We start from the raw sequence: 26,999 nt of genomic DNA on the forward strand, positions 1-26,999 counted from the left end.
TTACAAGCTACACTTCAAGCCTCTGACTAGGACCTGCCATGAAGTACTTGGGAATCAGTGGAGTATCACTGTGGGGTGAGGTGTCTGAGGCGAGGCCCACCAATCTCCATACTTCTCCCCGGGCCCCTCTGCCTGAGAGGGTCTCCCTGCTTCCCTTGGCAGACTCTGGTTTGGCCTTCTGGGTTCGGCGTTGTTGTCACCTCCTTCAGGAAGCATTTCTGGCTAAGGTGCCCCACTCTATAGCAGCTGGTGTAAAACCTCTCTAAGCAAACAGCATAACTTTCTGTCCTCTCAATTGACTGAGTTCTGAGAGCACAGCCTGGAGCTGGCACGGTGCCTGGCACAGAGAGCTGAAATGGCACACCCTAGTGTTCCCAGTGGCTCGACTCCCCAGGCTCTCCATCAGGACGCAGCCCTCTCCCACCTCTGATGGATATGGGACCATGGAATGCTTTGTCCAGCAGCAACTCTTGCCTCCCTCACAGAAGGGAACACCTAGCCCATCAGACTCACCTTTCCTTACTGGAAAAGTCCACTCCCAGCAAGATATTCTCCTCGGTGTCCTGGCGCCCGCTGCTGTACACCACCACCATGTACCGGACCCGGTCCGCCCAGGCGCTCTCCAGGCGCACTGCCTGGAACAGGGCAGACATGCTCTCACTAACCTGCCTTTGGAGGTGGTGCCTCCCTCCCATCTCCAATGCAAGATCAACACTTTCAGTGTTCTACCTTTCCCTCTGGGAGTTAAAAATGAAGAGAAAATTCTTGGCTGGGCATGGTGGTTCAGGCCTGTAATCCCAGCACTTTGGGAGGCCAAGGTAGGCAGATCACTTGAGGTCAGGAGTTCGAGACCAGCCTGGCCAACATGGCAAAACCCCATCTCTTACTAAAAATACAAAAATTAGCTGGGCATGGTGGCGTGCGCCTGTAATCCCAGCTACTCAGGGGACTGAGGCACGAGAATCTCTTGAACCCGGGAAGCGGAGGTTGCAGTGAGCTGAGATCATGCCACCACATGCCAGCCAGAGCGACAGAGTGAGATTCTGTCTCAAACAACAACAACACAACAAAACACAAAGCGGAAGTTCTTGACAGCAGGAACCAGGCCTCGTTTCTCTCTGTAGCACCAGGGACGCCGCCTGGCTCAGAGGAATCACCCAAAATGCAAGAAATCAGTGAACACATGAAATCCAAAGAAAGTTCGTATTTAGCTTATTTAACTGCCGTGGAGACCTGTTTCATCCCTCCTCCCGCCCCTCTGGGGAACTGAGGAGTCAACCTGGCTTTGGCTTTAGTGCACAATTTGAGAATTTGTTGTAACCTAAAAGCTTTTCCCCTTATCATTCACGAATGGTTCCCCACCAGGTTTCACAATTAAAAATTAAAACTTGCTGGCTGGGCACGGTGGCTTACACCTATAACTCCAGGACTTTGGGAGGCAGAGGCAGGAGAATCATTTGAGGCCAGGAGTTCAAGACCAGCCTGGGCAAAATAGCAAGACCCCATATCCACAAAATTTTTTTAAAAATAAGGCAGGGTGGTACACACTTGTAGTCCCAGCTATCCAGGAGGCTGAGGTGGGAAGATTGCTTGAACCCAGGAGTTTGAGGCTGTAGTGAGCTAAGATCATGCCACTGCACTCCAGCCTGGGCAACAGAGCAAGACCCTCATCTCACAAAAATTAAAAAAAAATTTTTTAACTTGACATTCTCACTGCTTCTTACCAGCTTGATTCTGTCTTCGCAACGCAGAAGGTTGATCATCACCTGAAGATGTTGAGGCAGATCACCTGTTGGACCAATAAAGAAAGCTTTAAAAGGTCTCTTACCTACTCTCTAGGAAAAAAAACCTCTGAAAGGCTGACTTTGAGGGCTTGGAAAAAGATTGAGAAGTTAAAATTTGTCTACCTACACCACAGGAGAATCACCACAAAAACTTCAAGTCTGAATTTCTCTTACACCACTCTGAATACTGTGCGACGTGGATGGGTGACATGGAGCTTACTGTCATGTTGTTAAAAGTTGCTCTTATTTCCTGAAATACATACAGTATAGGTTTCCAAATACAAAATGTGAAAAATACAGGCAAGCCTAGAGAAAAATGTTATTTCATTCAAGCCAATGTTACTCGGCAGGTTGGGGTGCCTAGAAACGACAGCTGTGGCTGGAAGTAAGGCATTTGCTAAGAGTTAATCATTAGAGAAAAAGGACAGAGCATCACGTTTCCTCTTCAAACAACTTCTTCTTCTATACAGAGTCTCGCACTGTCACCCAGGCTGGAGTGCAGTGGTACGATCTCAGCTCACTGCAACCTCCGCCTCCTGGATTCAACAGATTCTTCTGCTTCAGCCTCCTAAGTAGCTGGGATTACAGGTGCCCATCACCAGACCCGGCTAATTTTTGTATTTATAGTAGAGATGGAGTTTCACCATGTTGGCCAGGCTGGTCTCGAACTCCTGACCTCAAGTGATCTGCACGCCTCAGCCTCCCAAAGTGCTGGGATTACAGGCATAAGCTACCCCACCCAGGCCCCACTTCAAACTTCTGCATTTTCCACTGGAGGCAGACATTATTTCCATAACCGGGGGGGCGGGGGGAAATGTTTAAGTGACTCTACAGATAGCAGCTGTATGCTGGTTGCCCAGAGAAATAATTTGAATAGAAACCAATCTGTCATTTTCTCTTTTCTTGCTAAAAATTATGTACTCTTTTTTCTTCACTATGTAAAACAGGCAGTAACCAGGGACGGCTTCTGAACTTCTCTGAGCTGCCCCAGGGTTCAGGAGGTGTTCCTGGAGTGCAGTGAGGAAAGTCTCTTACTGGCCATGAGTCTCGCGCGAAGCAGAGACCCTGTCAGAAGAAGCGCACACTTTCACGGAGGGGAAAGTTGTAAGGGAGGTGCATAATTAGTAAGTAGCAGGTGTGACTCCAAGGTTGCTTTTTTTCTCTAGCTTACACATTTTTCTTTATATCTGCAAGGATTTCTTTCTGAAGAAAGGGTCATCTGTAGAGATGCTAATATCAGCCTGGTGTGGTGGCTCACACCTGTAATCCCAGTGCTTTGGGAGGCCGAGGCAGGAGACTCACTTGAGGCCAGGCATTCAAGACCAGTCTGGGCAACATGGCAAGACCCCATCTCTACAGAAAAGTAAAAAATTAGCTGGGCTTTCTGGTTCACATCTGTAGTCCCAGCTACTTGGGAGGCCAAGGCAGGAGGATCGCTGGAGCCCAGGAGTTTGAGATCACCCTGGGCAACACGATAAGACCCTGTCTCTACAAAGGAAAAAAAATTACTCTATACATCACAATTACAACCCCAAAAGGATCAATAATGCTTACACACTCAAATGCTCCAAAAGGAAACATTGTGTTTGTTCCTTTTGCAAAAGCATCTTTTTCATTTTAAGGGAGAAGGACAGATGATGTCCAAATTGCACTTCCTGTCTCAGAGAGGAATTGGGTCATTAGAAATTTGTGCCTCTAGCCAGGAGGGTAGATCTCATGTTAAGCGTTCTTTCTTTTTCTTTTTTTTTCAATAGAGACAGGGTTTTGCCATGTTGCCCAGGCTGGTCTCGAACTCCTGGACTCAAATGATCCTCTCACCTCAGCCTCCCAAAGTGCTGGGATTATAGGCATGAGCCACCAAACCCAGGCCAATTAAGCATTCTTTCCACAATAAGTAAAATTTAAAAAAGAAAAGAACCATGCCCCTCTTATCTGTCCTCTCCAGTTATACAATTCCACAGTGTATAACACCCTGTGTTGACCCTGCTTCCTATGATGAGCGATTTGGAGATAAGGGTTCACATTAAAGAAAGCCATAGACCTCCCCAGCCCCTTCCTCCACCCGTCATGTCACCAATGCAACACAACGACAACGACCATGAGCTGGTTCTTCACCTGCCTGGGCCCTCCCACCATCTACCCGAGTCACAGAACTGCATTGGGGAAAGCAAAAACAAACCCCTGTCTGATAAATGCCTAAATGAAAGGGACATTTTCCACACAGATAAACTTCTTTCAGTGGGATTGTTTGCTGAGATATGGAACTGCTGACAGACAGAAATCCAAACCCCAGTCTGACATCCACACACAAAAAAATCAGAGAATATAAGCCCTAGAAAGGGTCTCAAATTGACTGGACTGGCTGAAACAAACTGAACTACTTTTCCAAGGACAGAATTAACCCTCAATTGTACTCAGCTCTGCACAGTGGTTACTGGGGGGCCTCTGGTACATTCAGGAGACTTGATGGTAATTCTAGGGAAAAAAAGGAACTAACGTAAGTCTAGTCTGCGTCTGTCCCAAGGTCATTTACAGACCAACTGTGGACAGCTGGCGGCCCCTCTGCCTTCCGACCTCATCGTCCACTCCAGACCTCAGGGCACAAGAGTCAGCCAGCTGGTGGCTTGCATCCTACCCTTCTAGTCTTTGGATTAGAGGAAGGAGGTATCTGACACTTAGTGAGCAGAGCTTGAGCATTTGCTTTGTCATATGTGTTACAATTAAAACATGAACAACAGCTACATTTCTAAGAGGGCAGAATAATTAGCAAATTCAAGAACGAAGAATCTGGCTGAGTATGGCACCTCAAACCTATAATCCCAATGCTTTGAGAGGCTGAGGTGGGGAGATGGCTTGAGGCCAGGAGTTGGAGACCAGCCTGAGCAACATAGTGAGTGAGACCTCATCTACACACACACACACACACACACACACAACTAGCTGGGTGTGGTGACACGCATCTATGGTCCCAGCTACTCAGGAAGCTAAGGCTGGACAATCACTTGAGCCCAGGAGGTCGAGGCTGCAGTGAGCTATGATCAGGCCACTGCACGCCAGCCTGGGCAAGAGAATGAGATCCGTCTCTAAAAAAACTTTTCATATAATTAAAAAAAAAAAAAGAATGAAGGGTCTGTTTATAGCTGTATTGTACTAGAAGTCATCGTAATAACAATGATAGTTACCCATATATATATACAGCACCTACTACAGGTAGGTATGTTACACGCATAACTCTAAATTTCCATATTGTCTGAGGCACCAGTATTTGATGCCCATTGTAAAGACTAGGAAACTGAGGCTTAGAAGTCGACCTGTTACGGCTTAGTAAGTTGGAGAACTAGGATCAGAAGACAGGTCTGCCTGGCTTCAAAACAAATACTATTTCCACAAACCACACTGCCTCCTTGTACAGGACAGTTATTTTCTTTGCTTAAAACAGACCTAAATATCATCAACATCAGTATGTGAAAATACTGACTGAGCCTTGGTGTTTGCTATAAATTGCATGGTGTAGAATTCTAACCTGAGCACTCAGATCTAAAATGAAGCTGAATGACTTGAGGTTAAACAAACAAAATGTTCACAAGAAAACTGGCCACAATAGCTGGTTGGTTTCACCTGCTGCTGTTCTGAAAGGTAAAGGCCTTCTCAGCTCACAGACATTCAATTATGCACTGCCTCTCCAAGAAATGCCCTGAGATGCTGTCCACCTACGACAAAGATCCACTTACATGCAAGCACTTTTTCCTCTTTCTTTCTTTTTGAGATAGGGTCCTTTTCTTTTGTCACCCAGGCTGGAGTGCAGTGGCGCAATCGTGGCTCACTGAGCAACACAGTGAGCAACATAGTGAGACCTCATTTACATACACACCCACAAAAAACTAGCTGGCTGTGGTGACACATCAGCCTCGACCTCCTGGGCTCAAGCAATCCTCCCACCTCAGCCCCCAACCTTGCTGGGATTACAGGCATGCGCCACCACGCCCAGCTAATTTTTGTATTTTTTGCAGAGATAGGGTTTCACTGTGTTGTTCGGGTTAGTCTGGAACTCCTGGGTTCAAGCGAGATCTGCCCACCTTGGCCTCCCAAATCCTGGAATTACAGGCAAGAGCCACCGTGCCTGGCCATAAGTGTGTTTTGTTGTTATTGTTTTTAAGAAACAGAGTCTCTCTCTGTCACCCAGGCTGGAGTGCAGTGGCGTGATCCTAGCTTGCTGCAGCCTCAAACTCCTGGGCTCAAGCGATCCTCCCAACTCAGCCTCCCAAAGCACTGGGATTACAGGTGTGAGATACCATGCAGGGCCACGCAAGCATTTCTTGAATTCCTCTTTCTAACTGCCTTCAGCTCTGAGTCAAGTCTCCTAAGAAAACCAGTCTTACTACTTAGTAGGCACTTCTTATTTAAACTCAGTTTGATCCTCACCCTATTACTTCTGTCTACTTCCTAAAAACAAACTATTACAGAATCAAGACTTCCTACTACAGTGTCTATCTCAGAGTTGGAGCCAAAGGCCCTTCAAGAAATTCTCCAAATGAGTGTTTTTCAAATGCTTGGAGAAATCCATCCCAAGATTAGGTATACAGCACTCCAGATGGTTATTTTCAAGTGGACGACATCTGGCTATAATTCATTTTGGTGCATTTGTTAAAAAGTCAGGCTGTAACTTACAGCCTGCAATTAACTGATAAACTACAGAGAGGAAATCTTTGCATCCCAGCAGGATGCTGCTGACCTTACTCCTGACGCAGACAGACATGACATAAAAGGTTGGAAAATGTGCGTGGTCTGCTCAAGAGAGAGCATCTGAGCCTCTGCCTGCACTGGTCACTGCAAACCTGCGTCCACTATGTCTAAGGCCTTCAAACTCAGCAACATCACCAACAATGGAAGTTTCCTCTGCTGTCCAGAAAAGAAGCTCCAATGTAAGAGTATCAACTTAGAGCCCTCACCTGCATGCTTGTGGGGGTGCTGAAGACTCCGCTGGCCTTGAGGGCTGCTTCCCTGTTGTAAGAAGAGGGCTGCGCCTTTCACCATGAAAAAGCTCTCACTTAAGCTGGGAAGGATAAGACCAGAGCACAGTTAGACCGGAATTCAGACAGGAAAATGGACAAAGAATTACTGCAGGGGAAAAAGCTTTAGCGTGGACAAATGGCATGTAAAATGCAAATAGGATGAAACTGCTTTTATAATAATTCCACGTAGTACTTTTCTCAAACCTTGCTTTTGCTAAAAGCTTGCTGCTGGAGAATTTTCGTGACAAAATAATGCTTCTGTGACAACACCCAAAGTTCTACATAGGCTCTCCAGGGCCCCTTTCTGCAGAATACTGGACAGGGATCTCACTGTCATATAACATTTTCTTCTTTCTTTTTTTTTTGAGACGCAGTTTCACTCTGTCATCCAGGCTGGAGTACAGTGGTGTGATCTCAACTCACTGCAACCTCTGCCTCCTGGGTTCAAGCGATTCTCATGTCTCAGCCTCCCCAGAAGCTGAGATTACAGGCATGTGCCACCATGGCCAGCTAATTATTGTATTATTAGTAGAGACATGGTTTTACCATGTTGGCCAGGCTGGTCTCAAACTCCTGACCTCCAGCAATCTGCCTGCTTAGGCCTCCTGGAGTGCTGTGATTACAGGCGTGACCACGCCCAGCCATAACATTTTCTAAGAAAAGAGAACAACTCCCTGATTAGGAGAGGGCAGTCTACTTTGTGAATTCTCATGCTCTTGCTGTTGATCTCTGCTTCTAACTCTCTGGCTTTTAACAACTCCATTGTTTCTTGGTGACTTCCCTTGATGGAATACAAGATGAAATTACACTTTCACTAGTTGTTTGCATTTTAAGAAAAGTGGGGAGGGGCCGGGTGGCTCAAGCCTGTAATCCCAGCATTTTGGGAGGCCAAGGCAGTGGATCACTTGAGGTCAGGAGTTCGAGACCAGTCTGGCCAACATGGTGAAACCCTGTCTCTACTAAAAATGCAAAAATTAGCCAGGCGTGGTGGCACATGCCTGTAATCCCAGCTACTCAGAAGGCTGAGGCACAAGAATCGCTTACTTGAGCCCCAGGGACGGAGGTTGGAGTGAGCCAAGATCGCACCACGCACCACTGCACTCCAGCCTGGGCGACAGAGCAAGACTGTGTCTCAAAAAAAAAAAAAGAAAGAAAGAAAGAAAGAAAAAAGTGGGTGGATACTGACTTGTGATTTAACTTAGTCAAGGTTGTCCTGTCCACTATTCTTGAGGAAAACCTCAAGTTGGCCCAATGAATTTCTCAGCAGAATGAATCTTTGGCCTTTGTTATTTTAGCTAGCAATAACATTTATAACTACCTATAACTTTAAAAATTACAATTAAAAAATGTTTATTTGGGAGGCTGGGGTGGAAGGATCATTTGAGCCCAGGAGTTCGAGACCAGCCTGGGCAACGTTGTGAGACCCCGTCGTACATCAAAAGTTTTTATTTTTAATTTCACTTTCATGACTTGGCTATCAAGTCTGGCTTTTGCAAAAATTAAGACATAAGAAAAGAATGCTTCAGCTATGAATTACTATCAATTGTTCAAAAATACCATCAACTCTCAAAATTATGCATAAAATACACCAAAATTATTAACAACGGCTTTGCGGGAGGTGGGGGAGGAGGAGGAATAGATTATCTTCTAGTATTTTCCAAATGTTCTATATTAAACATATATTAACCTTTAAAACATCTACTTTTGTTTGATTCTCAAAATAATATAAAACACTACTATATAATTTAAAAAGAACATTCTAATCTTAATAATTTCATAAAAGGAGGTCACAGTTCAAATTGTAGGCAACTATAAAAATTTCGCTCTTGAACAACCAATGAACATATACATGATTTGAAGGAAAAATCCCTAAGAAAAAGCAGTCTTCTAATTAAAGAGAACCTTGAAATTAAGTAAATCAATTCCTGACAGAAAGACGAAGATGTTTTCTGTAATACAAGAAAGCAAGATCACCTTTGCCCCAGACATCTAATGTTAGTAGTTAAACGTTCGAATTCTGGAATAAAAAACTCAGCAAAGTCTAAAGTATGACTCTGGGTGCCAAGAAAATGCCACAGGAACTAGCATTTCCAATCAGCAGCTCCTGAGATCAGGAAGACTGTTATGTTCTATGATATAAAGTCCACAATAAAATCTGTTAGTTTTTCTGGTTAAATGCTCATGCTAAAAATAGTGACTGCTCAAATATTAAGTAAGAAGACTTAGTTTTGCCTTCTTGTTCAGTCCTCTGAATTCCAGGCAATTGGTTTTCGATATCTTGTGACACCAATACTTGACATCTAACAGCATTTTGTCCACTACTGCAGATGCACTGCCGAGTCATCCTTTCCACCCTCTCACAGGCATATATTTGTGCTGCAAGGTTCAAGTGTTGAGGAGCTCAGGATTATAAATAACGAAAGAAACGAGAAGCAGCCTTTCTTTGCTGTCTCACCCTCACTCATAGGAAGTAAAAAGCTCTTTAGCATCCATCTGGCCGATCTCATTTCACAGGCTGCAGAATCACCTAACCCTTTCCACCTGCAAAGCTTGTCACTCTCTCCTTCCTTAGAATCTCACAGCTGAGTATGTTTTCAGAACTGTTCTTAGACACAGATCATTTACTATTTATTCTCATCAAAATCTGAAACAGCTATGCGAGAGGTTCCAAACTCATGAAACCTAAAACAACCATCAGTTCATCGAAGCAGCTGGGAAAATCTTTTCGAGACAACATCAACTGCTTTTGTTCATGAGATTAAAAAAAAAAAATTCATACTGACCAGAAACCCAAGCACGCTGGAAACAGCCAACCATTAACGATGACCTTTGCCTTGGAAACCATGAGCAAAAATTCCCCTTGGTTTCCCTTATATTTCCTTTGGAAAAAAAAAGGAACAATGCAACAGACTAGGCTGGTTTCACTCTGTGATCACTTACAAGGCCAGCTGTTCCTCCTCCATGTTCCTACACTGATAAGAATCAGGGACTCCTGCTCTACGCATGAAGTCAGGATGGCATTGATTGGGGCCCTGGAACACTCTGCCTCTGTTCCCCCACGACAATCAAGTAACAGGCATTTACTGTAAAAAGCAAGACTGGAAGCTGCAGGGAAGCCCAAGTAGCAGCGCATTATCCCGAAGCTGTGAGATCACCCTGCGTCCTGCAAATACAGTCAGGAGATACAGCCAGAGGAAACCGCACGACATGACTCTCCGGGTGGGGGGTGGGGTGGGAGGCCGCAGAGCATGGTCAGTCACAGGATTTATGAAAACAAGATGCAGAAAGTCTCTGTGACCCGGCTTCCTGGCTTCTCTTCTGAGCTCACTCTGGGCCCAGAGCCTCATGCGCCCTCTGCGTGGCTGACCTGAATACTGTATCTGACGACTGCAGCTTCTGATGCCCAGAGGCACAGGCTCCCGATTCATCAGACCCTCAAAGTGTCCCACTGGGGAAGTCCATGAAGAAATCCACATTGGTGATGGCACGCTCACTTTACCAGGTGTCTGGGGCCAGGAAGCCCAAACCCACAAGCCATCCATCCCAGCCACCCAGAAGTCACTCTTCTCACAAAAGATCTGAGTGTCCTAAAAGGAGTGACTAAAGTTACAAAAGGTCAGACGCAGACAGACAAAACGGAAATGTCTTCCTCCACCGCTGTAAGAAAAATCTTGATGAGGGATAAAAAAAAAAAAAGCCGCTGCCCTCTCTACCCGCCAACTGGAATGTTTTTATCTCCACCACACAGATCTGTTCTCGGACACTGATTACTGCCATTCGGGAAGCTTCATAAGATTAAAGTTTCTCCAAAGCATTGAAGACAGACAAAAAACCTCAATCAATGCTCCTCAAAAAACCCCAGGCCCCCAAAATATAAACAGCCAGTGTCATCCAGAAACCAAGCCATGGCAGGAAACCAGTAATCAGGGTGGTCATACGTACTAATTTGAGCTGGAAACCTCTGGACAGCAGAAGCAGTGGGTTGGCTGAAGGAAGATGCAGAAGTCGGTAAAATAAAAGAGGTTCGTGGCTGCAGTGCTCACATCTCTAACGCTCCCTACAACTGCCCTCCGAGCTCTGGCCATCTGCTCCCTATGGAGATCAGGAAAAGCCAGGAGGCTGCCGAGTGCTTCCACGAGGGCTGGGGAGCCAACTCCTCCTCAGAGTCCTACCCGAAAAGCAAATGGCTCTTGTGGAACTCTTGTCTTCCTCTGATATTTTGGCTGAAAAAGGCCCTTGTCCCAGCACATCCTGATGAAAGAGGGCCATTCAGCAAAACAGCTGAGGTTCCTCTAATCACTGCACTCCTACGGGCTTTTCTGTAGGCCGGAGAAACAAGCACCGGGGTGTGCATTCGACATTGTGAGGGCAAACAACTGGCCCCAAGGAACCAACCCCAAGCAACAAGACCCCCTTCCGATTCAAATCAACATTCTGAAGGATGACTCTTTCTTTCAAATCAGCATCCATTTACCCAACGGTGACGGTGACGTGGGCAGCTGCCGCAGTTAGTTATTCTGCGTACTCAAAGCACGGTTACATCCTGAAAATTCTTCAGTCATGCTAACAGCTATCTGAGGGGACACGCCAGGTAGAGGGGACCACATGCACACCTATGAGGAGCTCTGGGATACGCACGGTGCCCAAGGCAGGTCAGGCTGCAAAGGTCCTAAAGGTTGGAGGTGTGATCCCAAACCCTCCAGGCACAAGCCAGCCAAGAGCTGTGTTTTTAGCGTTTCTTTCAGTGAGAGAAATAAGTTCAGGATGTGAATAACCATGACGCAGGAGAGAATGGAATAAGTACCCTAAGAAAGGGGCTCGGCTAGGGTTTACAAGAGGGAGGAGGGAGCATTTAACTGGTGACTTCTGGAACAATTCCTGAAGGAAGCAGCACTGAGTAGGGGCTTCTCTTCCCTCGGCTCACAAGTGACCAAGCGATCCTCCCTACGGATTAAGTGAAACACACATTACCATGATTCTGGTTTTGCAGGTGAGGAAACCCCAGCTTGCCTAGGAGCACATATCTCTACAAGATGGGGCTGGACTCACATCTATCTGCCCCACGCCCACCTGCTTAACCCCTGTTAAGCAGCTGTTCTACTCATCCAGAATGAAAATCAGAGCCATTATGCTGCGGTCACATCCGCTCATGCCTGCCCAGGTGCCTAATGGCAAAGCCACTAAGGCACTGAGAAGTCAGAATGTGGATCACATCTTCCGTCCTTCTTCCCAGTGTGTGAATGCATCATGCGTGGGAAAGAGAGAGAAGGAACCATTCAAGCAAACAGAACTCCAGGAAGACGAGACTGTGCCGGGGTTCTTCCATCTGCCCAAGTAGAAATCAGAAGGGCAGGGGACCCACAGCCTTATCCTACCCACCACTGCCGTCATAGTTGGGGGACAGGACACATCCTTTGGCCCTTCTGCACTGCATAGAGGCTAAGGAGTTCTGTAAACCACACAGCCACGCTGACCAAGAAGTCGCTTTCAAGGTAAGTTTCTCATCAACAGGACTATTATTTACTGAGGATCTCCCATGTGGCCAAGGCTGTAGGAGGTACTTAGCTACGCCACGTCATTGAACTCTGGCAGTTCTGCAGGGTAAGGTATTTTCTCCATATGACAAACGAAGGAAGCCCGTCAACAATTCCAAAATAGAATCACCAGGGATAGCATGGACAACGCCCATGGTGACTGCCGCGCTTTAAGGTTTAAGAAAAGTAAAAACTGGGGGTGATGACTCATTCCTGTAATCCCAGCACTTTGGGAGGCTGAGATGGGTGGATCATTTGAGGTCAGGAGTTCGAGACTAGCATGGTCAACATGGCAAAACCCTGTCTCTACTAAAAATACAAAAATTAGCCAGGTGTGGTGGTGCATGCCTGTAATCCCAGCTACTCAGGAGGCTGAGGCAGAGAATCACTTGAACCCAGGAGGCGGAGGTTGCAGTGAGCCAAGATCGCACCACTGTACTCCAGCCTGGGCGACAAAGTGAGACACTGTCTTGGGCAGGGGCGGTGGGGAACAAAAGTAAAAACAATGGTCTGGGAATTCATATTTCTGGGTTCCAATTTACATTCTACCATATATACTCTGATTAACCCCTAGAATTAACCCCTAGAATTCCTTACAGGGTTCTGTTCATTCATCCAAACAGGCAAACATTTGCAGAGCATGGAGCACAGGGTAAGCCAAGCCAGCCCAAGCTCTGATAAGGGCAAAGACAGCCATCCTCTTTAAGGAATGGGTATATGTGCTGGTGATCTGGGTGTCTGCCCTGCTGCATAGAAACAGCATTTCTTGAAGAACAAAAATAGTAGGTATAGAAACATCACAGTATGGAATATCCAAACACCCCTGAATTCCAACTCTGGTCATACATTGAAACAACCTATCAAACTCCTAAAACACATTCATGCCCAGGTCCAGCCTCAGCAGAGTCTAATTCGGAAGGTCTGTGATGAGTCCTGGGCATCTACTTTTTTAAAAAGTTCCAGGGAGCTGGGCATGGTAGCTCATGCCTGTAATCACAGCACTTTGGGAGGTCAAAGTGGGAGAATCAGTTGACCCCTGGAGTTCAAGATTAACCTGGGCAACGTAACAAGATCCCATCTCTACAAAAAAATAAAAATAAAATTAGCTAGGCTTGGTGGTGTGTGCCTGTAGTCCCAGCTGCTCAGGAGGCTGAGGTGGGAGAATCACTTGAGCCTGGTGAGGTCAAGGCTACAGTGAGCTGTGACCACACCACTGCACTCCAACCTGGGAGACAGATCTTGTCTCCAGAAAGTTCCAGGGGGTGCTTCTGATGCACAGCCAAGTTTTAAAAACCTCAGAATCAAATAACATCATGGCCAGGCATGGTGGCTCACGCCTGTAATCCTGGCACTTTGGGAGGCCAAGGTGGGTGGATCACTTGAGGTCAGGAGTTCAAGACCAGCCTGGAAAACATGGTGAAACCCAGTCTTTACTAAAAATACAAAAATTAGCTGAGCGTGGTGACGCACACTTGTAGTCCCAGCTTCTTGGGAAGCTGAGGCACGAGAATCACTTGTACCCTGGAGGTCGAGGCTGCACTGAGTGGAGATTGTGATCCTGGAGTCCCCACTGCACTCCAGCCTGGATGAGAGTGAGACTGTCTCAAAAACAAACACACAAACAAACAACATCAGAAGACACAGAGAAAACAGTCTTCTCCATGGGCTTCATAAAGATACCTCTCACATAGGTACACGTCGATGTTTTCTGCTGGTAAAAGGTAACACCAACAAAAAGGCATGGTGCTCTCAGAAGGTGGGTGATGTGATTAGGTGCAATAAAGGGAGGTCATGCTAGGGTCAAAAACAAAATAATACTCTCTTTGGAAGCAGTAAAACAGATGCTAGTCTTCTACTACACACTTTCAGAGACCTGAATGTTCTTCTGGCCCTCTAAGGGAGACGCTGCATCATGACAATACGAAATGATGACAGTGAAAGCAAAAACAGATCAGACCTGTGCTGTGTGAAACAGACATGGGGTCTCGCTATGTTGCCCAGGCTGGTCTCCAACTCCTGAGCTCAAGCGATTGTTCCGCCTTGGCCTCCCAAAGTGCTGGGGTGACAGCTGTGAGCCACCGAGACCAACCTCAGATCAGACCTTTGACAAACTCTGCTGTGGACAAAGCATTCTGGTGAATGTCAACTCATCTGATCTTCACAAAACCGTGTGGAAGACCAGACAGGCATTATTACACTAATTTATGCCTAAGGAAACAGGGAGTTAAATAGTACAAATTTAGGATTTCTGATGCTGTATCTCGAAAAAAAAGTAGAGAATATGAGCCTGAAGAAGAGGCCCTGTAAAGGGTCCCAGATTGATGGGACAGGCTGAGACAAACGGAATCACTTTTCCCTGGATAGAACTAACCCTCAATGGTACCCCACTCTGCATGGTGATTACTGAGGGGACTGTCAATTGTCCAGCGAACTTGATGGTAATTCTAGGAGAAAAAGGAACTAATGTAATGCTGTCAGCATAGAAAGATGGGTGCCAACGAGCATTCCAAAAAGGAGGCTCTGTTAATTCGGTTTCGATCAACAAGTATTTGCTGAGTGTCTATTGTGTCCGGTCAGTGCTAAGGCCTGAGAATTTAGAAGTGAAACAGACCCGGTTTCCACCCATGCCACAGACCACTCCACACCTGGTCTGGAGTGACACTGGAGGGCCAGGCAGGCACAGGACAGTAACTTCGATATAAGGCAGCAAGTTCCACGGTGGAAGGAGGTGGAAGGTGCAGATGCACGTACACACAGGGGTTCAGGGAGGCCTCCCTGGAAGAAATGAAGCCTGCGAGGCCCTGAAGGATCAGTAAACAGAGAGGCATAAGGGGCAGGAGAGTAAGATGATTATGCTACATGTACCTTATTGTGAACCCAGGAGGATTTGGCCTCTGTCATAAAAGGCCCCCCTGTGGGTTCATAAACCTCAATTTACAAATTGTGCTTTATATATCAGTTCCTTATAAGTTTGGTTAGCGTAAATTGGTTTCTTAGAACTTGATCATCCCTGAGTGAACTCACAAATTCAAGTTTCAGAATGTGCAAACCTAAGAAACAAACCTCATGCTTGTGGTTGAGACATCGCACTGTCAACATCACAAATTCTCAGCACCTGAATGCCTGGTATACTATCAACATATATTGTTTTAAATATGTAAATAATAGCTTTCTAGTTATAGAGAGTTTGTCCCTACATTTTTCCACTTAATTTTTACAATCCCATTCCCCTGATGAAACAACCCCAGCCTGGGCAACATGGCAAAATCCTGCCTCTACAAAAAATACAAAAATTAGCTGGGTGTGGTGGCGTGCACCTGCAGTCCCGGGTATTTGGGAGGCTGAAGTGGGAGAATCACTTGAGCCCGGGAGGCAGAGGTTGCAGTGAGCCAAGATTGTACCGCTGCACTCCAGCCTGGGAGACAGAGGGAGACTCTGTCCCACCCACCCCCGCCTCCCAAAAGAAAAGAAAAGAAAGAAAAGAAAATGAAACCACCAAGACTGGGAGAAGATAAATGACTTGTCTGTGGTCATCTGGCTAATAAGAGGTAGAATGGGGCTGAAAAAGTTCGGTGCTCTTCCTGAAGAATCCATAGGTCAGAAAGCAGCACCATCTGACCTGCAGCAATAGCAGCAACGTGGAAAGCTAATCAACTGACCTCAAAACCACTCTCAGTGAGGCTCTGGATGGATTCAGAACCCCAGGCCTAGCAAAGTGAAGTTGATAAAGATGTAAAGGAGATCGAAAATTCACCATTTGGAGAGAGATTAGCTAAAGACTGCAGGTCGGATGGAAAATTCTTTCCATGGTTCTCCCACAGGTTCTTCCCTCATTTGGAACTCGTGTTTAAAAGTCACAAAGACCCTGAGTTGGGCCAAGGTCTCGTTCTTCTTCACTGTGGGCCTTGCAGTGCAACATGGCAGGGCCTCGTTCCAAATGTCACTCTTCAGAGCCTAAGAAAACAAGTAACTTTAGGGACACACCTGTCAACCGGAGCTCCCAAATTGTACCCCCCTAAACACATAATGCTGAGCATAGAAAAATTCCAGCTCTGCAGAGCGTTATACTTAGGGAAAGGGGTCACAGACAAGGAATGCTGGCAGGGCTCATTACAAATATCTTTGCTGCTGGAACATGTATTGTTTGGCTAGAAGGCGTAGGCTTCTCTCAGAGAGAAGGAATGTCCAAAAGTATTTCAGACAGTAAGAGACATTCTCTGAGCCAGCTACACAGCTCTCCTTCAAACCAACGGGTAGCGGCAAGCAGCTGAACTGACCAGCGAGCTCGCAAAAGCAAGCTTTTTTTTTTTTTTCTCCCTAAATAAGACAGCAAGTGATGTGTCTTGGCTTGGTTTAGCAAATTTTAAGATAGTTCCCTGATGACCCCAAGAGCCCTCAGGCCCCATGGAAGCTGGAGCTAATGCATCTTCCTCCAAGCATCATCTGCTCTACCAGGATCTAAGCCCCTTCACGAGGGCAGAAGGTATAAAGGCTGCACTGTGCGGGAAATGCTATGGCAGCAAAGACAGCCAAACACGCCAGAAATAACAGGCACATGAAGGAAATGTTTCTGAGACAGCTCAAAAATTCCGAGAAGAGATTATCCCGACTGTCCCAGGTTCTCAGCCCTGTCTATGGTATGCAGCCCCATACCACAGTCATTTGTCACCGAGTCCTAACTTTGTCAGAGGCCCCTCCTTTCAGGTCTCTCAGGCACCACCCAGTTCTGGCCCTCCTCACCCCCGTGAGCCAGGCGACATCCAAGCAGCCCCACGGTGCACCCGGCTCTGTGCTGCATTCTCTGAATGTCCCTGAAGGCCAGGGCTGTTGTATTCTCTACCCACTCTCTGTCTAGTATGGGAGCCACTGGCCAGATGTGTTGACTGAACACTTAAGATGCAGTAAGTGTGACCAAGAAACTGGGTTTGTCATTTTATTTCATTTTAGTTAATTTAAATTTAAGTTTAATTAGCTACATGAGGCTATCAGCTGTGGTATAGGACAGCAGAGCTCCGGAAGCTTTTGGCCTGGTGAGAAGAATCAGGACAAGCGCCTCCCTGGCCTCTCGCCCACTCTGCACAGCCGCTAACCATTGCTCTCATGACATTCTTTCCCAGCCCCAGAACTTTTAGCCATGTGACATCATCTATTGATTAGAGTCCAAACTTCTTGTGCTAACTCTCTATGGGTTGCCACAATTAGCCATTGTATGTCGTTAACCTAAATTTCATTCATCTGCTATGTCCTGACCTTAGGGGCTTAGAATATAGTTAGAAAACAGTATTTCAGAATAAAAAACCATTCTTGTATTACCTCTCGCACTATTCCCCCTGTTCTCCATGCTTCGCATTCTCTGTTCTATCCCCAGCTATAGCACTGTCCCCATAAAGCCTACTGTGGTTCTCGGCTCATGGTGTCCTTCCTCCCATCTGCCTCCCGACGTCATGCCTGTCTTCCAGTGTTTATGCCTTCTCCAGGAAGCTTTCTCTTGTGGCCCTCGCTGTGAGCTATAGCTCCTCCCTTTCAACATCTTCTAGCACCTCCTCTTACTGTGCAGGTGAGGACACTGAGGCTTAAGGGTTAAGTCACTTGCTCAAGGTCACATACAGTCGGTCCTCTGTATCCGCGGGTTCCTCATCAGTGGATTCAACCAACTACAGACAGAAAATACAGTATTTGAGGGATGCTGAACTCTTTGAATTAGTGGGTTCTGCGGGTGCTTAAGCATCCATGGATTTTGTTATCCTCGGCAAAGGCGGGGGTCCTGAAACCAATCCCCTTGGATACTGAAGGAAAGACCACCCTTAGTGATAGGAACCTAGGAACCCAAGTTCCCTCATTTCCAAATCGTGTTCCCTGACCCACTTATTTACTAACTAGTGGTGAAGCCATCTTCCTGCCAGTATATTTTAACTTCACAATGGGATGTGAGGGCCAGGATGCACATGCTTTTTAAATCTCCCTCTGTGCTTGACATACAGTAGATTGAAAGTAAGTGCTGGTAGATACACTGGCCAAGCTGTGCTCTTCTCTGAAGTCAGTATTCCAGGAGTAACTCACCCTGGTCATCTCTGTGCCCTGGGCACACTGGGCACTCCCCACACACAGGTTGAACCTGGCAAATAAGACTCACAGCATCATGCCACGTGCGAGTTAAAGCCACCTGGAGGTCAGGTCAGGTCTTCCTGACAACTGAGTGCTTCAAATAACACAACAGCAGCTAAGTTCCCCACATCACCTTGAGTGTCTGGAGAGCTAGGCCTATGACTTCTCTGTCTCAGGATCCCTCTCAGTGCCCAGAAAACAGTGGACATCAATAAATGTAACACCAATAACATCTTCGTTGAGCGCTATGCTAAGCACATCAGGTATGTTAACTCATTTATTCCCCAGTGTCCATCTCTCAGTGTTTTATACATACGGGAACTGAGGCTCAATTAGCCGAGCGTGGTGTCGTGCTCCTGTAATCCCAGCTATTGGGAGGCACAAGAATCACTCGAACCCAGGAGATGGAGGTTGCAGTGAGCCGAGATTGTGCCACAGCACTGCAACAGAGTAAGACTCCGTCTTAAAAAAACAAAAAAACAGAAAACAAAACAAACAAACACTGAGGCTCAGGGAGGTTAAGTCACCTGCCCAAGTTCATGAGACCAAGGAGCCGGGAAGCAGGAAGGGGAAGGCAGGAGTGTAACTCTGAAACCTCTGCTCTTAGGCACTGGCTTTCAGCTGAACTGATACCTCTGGAAAACAGTCTCAAAAAAGTCCACTTCTCCTCCCAACAATTCAGACCTAAAAACCATTTGGCGGGGAAGGGCAGGGCAAGCTTCTGAGTTGGGGAGGGGGTGTGGGATCCCAAGCTGAGGTGTCTGTTGGCAAGCAGGGTGCAAAGGGCATCTGTGCAGGGAGGGGGCTGCAAGGGAGACAGAGACTGCTCACAGGCAAGGAATGAAATATTAAACATTAATGTTAATATTAATATTTATAATTAATATATTTATGATATATAGCATATATACATATTATATTAATTAATTATAACTATATTAATATAATTAATTATAACTATATTAATATAATCAATTATAACTATATTAATATAATCGATTATAACTATATTAATATAATCGATTATAACTATATTAATATAATCGATTATAACTATATTAATATAATCGATTATATTAATATTAATATAATCAATATTAACAAATATATACTATATAATATAAATAATACCTAAGTTTATATAATATGCATAATGTTAATATTTATTAATATTTCAGGGACAATGGGAGTCATGAATATGGAGAGACAAAACTAGAATGAACCCCAAGGTGCTGCATCAGAATTGAAGGTACCAGTCTGAACTCATAGTTTTCAACCTATTGAAATAAATATAGATGCACGTGTGTGTGTATGCACGTACATACAAATGTTCCCTAATTCTGCCCATTGAGAGGCCTGTGGTTAGCAACACCCCAACAGCAATAAGCAGACCTAGCTTGGCTCCTAAATTTCATTTTCCACTAAAAGGAACCAGAGCCCCTTGGATAAAGGACTGATTCCACAGGTGGGTAGGGAGCATCTGTTGCCAGAAAGCAAGAAAGCACTTAAAGAATGATGTGGACATGTCAAAGGGACACAGAAGCCAGCCTGGATGAGATCCCACTGGCCCTAACTGTCCACAAGGACAATTTGAGCAAGGATGTCAACAATTTAAGAGCAGATTATAAACCACTGAATAAAACAGAAAAATACAAAGAATTGAAACGGACATTGATGGCAGACAGGATATTAACATAATTTTAAAGTATCTCTCCAAGGAATGCTTCTGAATGATGAAGGGGAAAAGAATAACTGTACAGTGGAAAAGCCTGGTAAAACCCACCTTAGTGACCAAAGTGAATGTCACCATAGTGGGACAAAAGGAAATCAAGTGCCACCTTATGGGATTCAACGAGGACGCAGCATCCCTTGGGTGATGTTCCAGCCAAATACACGTGCCCGGTGGAATCACACAAGAACATCAGACACACTCACACTGAGGGACACTCTGCAAACTGACAGTACTGGGCACAAACATGTCCAGGTCATGGTCGACCGCAGTGGCTCATGCCTGTAATCCCAGCATTTTGGGAGGCTGAGGTGGGCGGATCACTTGAGGTCAGGGGTTCGAGACCAGCCTGGCCAACATGGCAACACCCTATTCTCTACTAAAAATACAAAAATTAGCCGAGCGTGGTGGAGCATGCCCGTAATCCCAGCTACTTGGGGCGCTAAGGCACAAGAATCGCTTGAACCCGGGAGGTGGAGGTTGCAGCGAGCTGAGATATCACCGCTGCACTCCAGCTTGGGCGACAGAGTGAGTTTCCAACTCAAAAAATAAAAAAATAAAATAAAATCCAGGCCACAAGAGTCAAAGAAAGACTGAGGAAGGTTCCAGACTGCAGGAGAGCCAAGAGACAGGATAACTAGATGCAATGGGCAGTCCTGAATTGGATCTTTTGTTATGAAGGACAACGCTGGGACATATGGTGACTCTTGAATGGGGTTAGAGGACTAGACGGTGGGAATGCATCAGAGTCAGTGTCCCGCGTGGATGGCTGTGTTGCGGTTCTGTGGGAGAATGCCCTGGTCTGTATTCCAAGGGTAATGGAGTAGCAGGTTGACAAATTACTTTCAAATGGTTCAAAAAAGAAAGTTCTTTTCACTGTACTTGCAATTCTTATGTAAGCTGGAAATTATCTCAAAATTAACGAGAATTTTTTATCGACGTAGTATTTTACATATTTATGGAAAACATGTAAGTATTTGTTACATGCATAAACTGTGTAATGACCAAGTCAGAGTATCTGGGGTATCCATGACCTTGAGTATTAATCATTTGTATGTGTTGGGAGCATTACAAGTTTTCGAGTTACCAATTTTTTTTTTTTTCCTTTGAGACAGGGTCTTACTCTGTCGCCCAGGCTGGAGTGCAGTGGGACGACCACGGCTCACGCAGCACAGCCTCCACCTCCCAGGCTCAAGCGATCCTTCCACCTCAACCACCCAAGTAGCTGGGACTACAGGTGTGTGCTGCCACCCCCAGCTAATTTTTTAATTTTTTTGTAGAGACAGGGTCTCACTATGCTGCCAGGGCTGGTACTGAACTCCTAGGCTCAAGAGATCCTCCCACCTCGGTCTCCCAAAGTGCTGGGATCATAGGCATGAGCCACCATACCCAGCCAAATTTTTTAAAGTTATTTTTTAAATCTCCACTTAATTCGATTTTGGTAAAACACGACCTGTAATTTTTCTTTATCGGTAGGTAATAAAAGCTTCAGATGATTTTACTGATCACTGGTATGGGCATATTTCATGACTTTGCCCTTTCATCTCTTGCATAGTTTTACCCTCACCAAGCAAGACCTTCCCTGCCTCAGCACTGTTTGCCCTCTTCGTGTTTTCCAGAACAGAAGTGGCCCTGTTTCGTGCCCAGAGCAGAAGAGAACGATGAAGAGCTCTGCTCTCCCAGGTCTTCCTGGTCTGTGTGTGTCCAGGTTTTGAGGGCCTCTCACATACACGGCTCTGGACCACGTAAGATCTAATTTTAGCATTTTCCTGCTCGGAGACCACATGTTTGGAACAGCAGGGGCTGACCTGCCCGTGCAGGCCTCCTATTGTGAAGGGCACGCGAAGCCAGGATACCGCAGCCCTGCAGGATGTGACTCAGCATCCTGTCTCAGTGCTGGGGCGGCCAGCAGCTCTGGCACCAAGTGCTGCTGCTGACCTCACCTCTTAAGACCACAAATACCCAGGGTAATTGGTGGGATAGGCATGCAGCATCAGCTCTCCCTGTTAAGACAACTTGCTTGTCCATCCATTATGCTGGGCTTCCTTGTGAACACCACAGGTATCTATCAGGAAGAGTTCTTCCGAGGAACTGATCTGCTGGTATTTTCAGGACACCAAGAATCAAGAGATTGGTCTTGTTTCTCTCTTTGCTTTGACTACCAGGAAACTCAAAGTCAGATCTGTGGCCAAATTCTGGTAACCATACCAATGCTATGTCATGTATTACATGTACAAACCTTCCCCTTACTTCATCTTATTTTCTTCTGCTTTCTTCGTGTCCCGATTTTCTCACTAATGTTACATTCTATTGTTCTCTATGAATGTTGTAAGGTGTTTCAAATCCTTTTTGGAGGGCACTACTGTAGATACAACACACATTACCCCTGAGGGATAAGGACTCTTTTTGACTCCACACAGAATCCCTGGCATTTGGCAAAGAACCCATATTTAGGCACTAAATACACATGGGCTGAATGGAAAAAGCCAATAGCTAAGTAAAAACCACCTCCATTACCATATTGTTTCACAAGAGGTTCTTTTCCCTTCCATCTCATGAGGTGGGGCCTGGTCAGGAGTCCCCAGGGCCTGGGAATTAGGTTCCTTAGGGAGCCTTCTTGCTGTAGGGGCAGCCAACAGGTCAGTGGCCTTGACTCCAGACCTAAAGAGCCACTCCTAGACTCCCAGCTGCAACAGACACAGCGTGGCACGGGTGGGCCTGGCCACTGGGGAAGTGACAAGTGATTTCCAGATGCTGCAGCCAGCCTGGCTCTTTCCAGACCACACTGAAGGCCCCTTCCTGTGGGAATTCTGATGGGGCCCAGATTTGGGGAAACACGCCTCGAGGACTCTTGGCAAGTGCGTGCCAGGCCTGGACCAGGAATGACTTCTGTGGGCACAGGGAGAGACCAGGCATTTCCTAACACAGGACCTTGAACAGCCTTCTCTGAAACAAAGTCTTTCTAAAAATAGCTTCAAAAGTAACCATTCAAGAAAAGAAAGAAAAAAAAAACTGTAAAAGTAAAGGCACTCAAGAATGATATTTCCCAGATAAAAGCCTGGCACAGGTTTCAGAGGAACTTGCAGGAAAACAGGTCAAGGCTGGGTTTTTCCTCTTAGGTGTCACTTGGTTAACATTGGTCTTTGGAGGGGAACAAGTGCGGCAGGAAGGGCTGGCACTGAAAATGATGGCCACTGGGTATAGGCCAGGGCCAGACACTGTACACAGAACAAGACTCTCTGGAGGCCTCAGGAGGGCCCTGAGAGGAGGAAGGCAGGTGGTGGGCCCAGGGTCAGACATGCAAGTGAGCTAAGTGGCAAGGCCGATGCCCCATCCAGAAGCCCCGCTCTGACCACACGCAGGCTCTCCCGGCATGTCCTCATTTATGCGGCAGTCTCTTGTATCTCACTGCAATTCTGCCCCCACACTGCAGGCTGGCCAGCGTGGCTTCCTCATAAGCACATCACCCTGCATCCCGACACTGACTACACCCACAAAGCAGGAGCCCCCGCACCCTCCAGCCCAATCGCTCAGTTCGCTTTGAAAATGGCTCCTCTCGGGGGCTGGGCGCAGTGGCTCATGCCTGTAATCCCAGCACTTTGGGAGGCCGAGGTGGTTGGATTGCTTGTGGTCAGGAATTCAAGACCAGCCTGGCCAACATGGTGAAACCCCATCTCTACTAAAAATACAAAAAATTCGCCAGGCATGGTGGTACAAGCCTATAGTCCTAGCTACCCAAGAGGCTGAGGCAGGAGAATCACTTGAACCCAGGAGGCAGAGGTTGCAGTTAGCCGAGATCGTGCCACTGCACTCTAGCCTGGGTGACGGAGCAAGACTGTCTCAAAAAAAAGAAAAAAAAAAAGAAAATGGCTCCTCTGGATTTTGATTAATCCTATTTTGATTAATCCTGGTTTCTCATTTTCAGCCTTCCTTGAAGCAGCATGACCCATCTGGATGTCCTCCTCATCTCAGGAATTTTCTAATAAGCTGTCTAAATCCAGAGATCCGACCACAGAACAATGAATGCCAAAGATGAGTTCTAAAGATGCGAGTACTTTCTTTCTAAACGGACGCTGCTTTGTGTATGGCTCTGCTCCTGGGGGCAGACGCGGCAGGCTAAGCCCTGCGGAGGAGGAGGTGAGTCCCAGCAGAGGGTCACTTCCTCTCAGTAGCCCGGCTGGTTTTCTCCACTGCAGGGTCAGACCATAGCCCTGACCCAGCTAGACCCCCATAAGCGCATGACCTTGCTCTCACCGTGGGAATAAAACTCGTGATAGTCAGTTACAAATACACAGCAAATGATGAGCAGCACAATATAAACACAGATCTAGATTGGTGGGTCTGAGGACTCATTCTTAAATTTGGAGGCCATCACCTAATCTTGTCTTTTCACTTTACATAGCAGGAGACAGGGACCCAGAGAAGTGAAGAGGCGTTGCCTTAGGTTGCACAGCAGATGACGCCTCTCAAGATGGACCCTAGGTTGTCTGACTCCGTCTCACAGCTTTGCCCCATTTATCATGAAGATGAACGCTGGTAACACTGCTACCTACGAGCTGAGCTTGCACGCACATTCCTGGTGTGTACATGCATGCGTGCACGCTCACGCAATGTGCTAAGTGCACAGGAAGGAGACCAGAGCCCTGAGGCGTTCTTTTGAAGTCTAAGTACTGGTGTTTCGAAAGTTTAATGAAACCTACTAGACTCTGAGCAAAATTCGTTTTACGTTAACCTTAATGAAAAGTTTAATTAAGTTCTGACAGAATTAACTCTTCACGTCTCTGTCCTCATTTGTCCCCATTCTAGAATGAGTTTTCTAATTAAAAAAAATATATAGGGCCGGGTGCAGTGGCTCACGCCTGTAATCCCAGCACTTTGGGAGGCCGAGGCGAGTGGATCACCTGAGGTCAGGAGTTCGAGACCAACCTGGCCAACATGGTGAAACCCCGTCTCTACTAAAAATACGAAAAATTAGCTAGGGGTGGTGGCGCATGCCTGTAATCCCAGCTACTCGGGAGGCTGAGGCAGGAGAATCACTGGAACCCTGGAGGCAGAGGTTGCAGTGAGCCAAGATCGTGCCACTGCACTCCAGCCTGGTGACAGAGCAAGTCTCCATCCCCCCCCACAAAAAAAAAGTATATATGTGTGTGTGTGTATATATATATATATATATAGCTAGGCACAGTGGCTCATGCCTGGAATCCCAGCACTTTGGGAGGCCGATGTGGGCAGATCACTTGAGTCCAGGAGTTCAAGATCAGCCTGGGCAACACAGTGAGACCCTGTCTCTACCAAAAATACAAGGTGGTGTGCACCTGTGGTCCCAGCTACTTGGGAGGCTGAGGTGGGAGGACCAATTGAGCCCAGGAGGTCGGGGCTGCAGTGAGCTGTAATCATGCCACTGTACTCCAGTCTGGGCAACAGAGCAAGACTCTGTCTCAAAAAGAAGAAAAGAGAGAGAGAGGGAAAAAAAATTGAAGGCAAATTCTGATTTTCAAATCAAACGTTCCAACAAACTGCAGAAATAAAACCCGAGTTAAACCAAAAGGAACAGCCAAACAGCACAATGACCCCAATGTTTAAATATGCCCCAATGTTTAAAAGTGGGAGTCAATGGGAGGCCACTACCTACAAGGCCACAGGGGTTAGGGCAGGACTCAGGTCCCTGAATCACAGCAGCCTGCATTCAAACCCTGGCTCAGGCCTCCCACCAGCCTCGTGGAACTGGTTTCCTAAAATGAGGAGAGTCCCTACTTTGCAGGCTTGTGACAACAAGATGACAGCAAGTGCAAAAGTTCCAAGCCCAGAGCCTGCAGCCTGCAGAAGCTGGCCTCATTACCACCCGGATGTTCTCCGGGCTGCAGCACATGAAGGGGATACGTGACAATCCCTGCTTTAAGTACAGCTCAGGGAGTTGACGGGACCTGCCCAAGCACATAGTGATGCCGCTAATGGCTCACCAGGAAGAATGGACTGCAAAGCCTGGTTCTTCTGATAAACTCCATTCTGTCTCCCAGTGTGGGTTCTGATGCATAGGGAGGAGGAAAAGACAGTGCTTGGATTTTGGGGTGAAGAGCACAGGTTTTGGAGTCAATGAGACATGGAGTATGAGGGTCTCAGCTCTACCGTTTACTACTAAATAAAAACAGGCCACTGACCTCTCTGGGGTTTAGTCTTCTCCTCCAGGGAATGGGAATTCAAATGTCCTTACAGGGTTTTCACAAAGATTAACTGAAATAATGCACACAAGGCAATCACAGAGTGGAGTATGGGTGCTCCCTTTTCTCTCCTCCATCCCTGCTTTATTTTTTCGCCTGGGCACTTACCAACACACGATTATTGCGCTTGTTTATTTTATTTACTGTCTTGTCTCCTCAACAGAATGTCAGCTTCCAGAGCAGGAATTTTTATTTTGTTTGTTGCTATATTCCCAGCCCCTAAAACAGGGCTTGGCACACAGTAGGAGCTCAAAAAATATTTGTTGAATGAATAGCTCACAAGCAGACAGATGAGGACAGAGGGGTCTTGAGACTGATCTAACAGCACCGATATTACTAAACTGCAACGGAGGCAACGGTGGGAAGAATTTCTCTGTCCTTTGTTTCCTGAAAGTCCAAGACCACTTTTAGTTGCTCAACAGGAAACAATACTCAACTTACAAGACCTCTAGGGCCTATCCAGGGCAAACTGGGCACTGTGAGGCAGGAGGTCAGGCAGCCCTGTCCCTAGGGTGGCTCACGGTCTAGTGGGCAGGGCCAGCTTCTTCATATGTGCTCAGAGGGGCCCCGTGCTTGGTTTAATACTCTGTTGGTGCCATCTTGAAATTCTTAATAAT

At 46.5% G+C, this 26,999-nt stretch overlaps 1 protein-coding gene and 1 non-coding gene across 15 annotated transcripts in view, besides 6 other annotated features; both read right to left on the reverse strand.

Annotated features, from left to right (window-relative positions):
- The window catches only part of SSH1 (slingshot protein phosphatase 1), a 79,393-nt gene that overhangs the window by 38,334 nt on the left and 14,060 nt on the right, over nucleotides 1-26,999 (reverse strand). For 5 of the 14 annotated variants that reach the window (XM_047429022.1, XM_047429023.1, NM_018984.4 and 2 more), the window contains 3 exons: nucleotides 6,734-6,837; nucleotides 1,725-1,789; nucleotides 514-635 (listed from right to left, as the gene is read on the reverse strand). In XM_047429022.1, the coding sequence (XP_047284978.1) occupies nucleotides 514-635; nucleotides 1,725-1,789; nucleotides 6,734-6,818 (272 nt within the window). In that variant the 5' untranslated portion in view covers nucleotides 6,819-6,837. The other 9 variants (XM_011538499.2, XM_011538497.2, NM_001161331.1 and 6 more) reach the window with 7 other exon arrangements.
- Nucleotides 5,463-5,512: an enhancer, noted in NCBI's record as "active region_6979". NCBI's record gives its function as "activates an Ori minimal core promoter by ATAC-STARR-seq in GM12878 lymphoblastoid cells {active_cell/tissue: GM12878}" and the evidence as "EXISTENCE:reporter gene assay evidence [ECO:0000049][PMID:35858748]".
- Nucleotides 11,136-11,707: an enhancer, noted in NCBI's record as "H3K27ac-H3K4me1 hESC enhancer chr12:109221436-109222007 (GRCh37/hg19 assembly coordinates)". NCBI's record gives its function as "activates a minimal SCP1, AML or CMV promoter by ChIP-STARR-seq in naive H9 embryonic stem cells {active_cell/tissue: H9 hESC(naive)}" and the evidence as "EXISTENCE:reporter gene assay evidence [ECO:0000049][PMID:30033119]".
- Nucleotides 15,159-15,268: an enhancer, noted in NCBI's record as "active region_6980". NCBI's record gives its function as "activates an Ori minimal core promoter by ATAC-STARR-seq in GM12878 lymphoblastoid cells {active_cell/tissue: GM12878}" and the evidence as "EXISTENCE:reporter gene assay evidence [ECO:0000049][PMID:35858748]".
- On the reverse strand, nucleotides 20,384-20,482 carry MIR619 (microRNA 619). The gene has a single exon (NR_030350.1). It is a non-coding gene; the product is annotated as a microRNA 619 (primary transcript).
- Nucleotides 21,338-22,537: an enhancer, noted in NCBI's record as "P300/CBP strongly-dependent group 1 enhancer chr12:109231638-109232837 (GRCh37/hg19 assembly coordinates)". NCBI's record gives its function as "activates an origin of replication core promoter dependent on BRD2, BRD4, P300/CBP, MED14 and CDK7 cofactors, with strong dependence on P300/CBP, by STARR-seq in HCT116 cells {active_cell/tissue: HCT116}" and the evidence as "EXISTENCE:reporter gene assay evidence [ECO:0000049][PMID:35650434]".
- Nucleotides 21,842-21,971: an enhancer, noted in NCBI's record as "active region_6981". NCBI's record gives its function as "activates an Ori minimal core promoter by ATAC-STARR-seq in GM12878 lymphoblastoid cells {active_cell/tissue: GM12878}" and the evidence as "EXISTENCE:reporter gene assay evidence [ECO:0000049][PMID:35858748]".
- Nucleotides 22,531-23,132: an enhancer, noted in NCBI's record as "H3K27ac-H3K4me1 hESC enhancer chr12:109232831-109233432 (GRCh37/hg19 assembly coordinates)". NCBI's record gives its function as "activates a minimal SCP1, AML or CMV promoter by ChIP-STARR-seq in primed H9 embryonic stem cells {active_cell/tissue: H9 hESC(primed)}" and the evidence as "EXISTENCE:reporter gene assay evidence [ECO:0000049][PMID:30033119]".

This window comes from Homo sapiens, chromosome 12 (genome assembly GCF_000001405.40).
Source record: "Homo sapiens chromosome 12, GRCh38.p14 Primary Assembly".
Taxonomy (NCBI): Eukaryota; Metazoa; Chordata; class Mammalia; order Primates; family Hominidae; genus Homo; species Homo sapiens.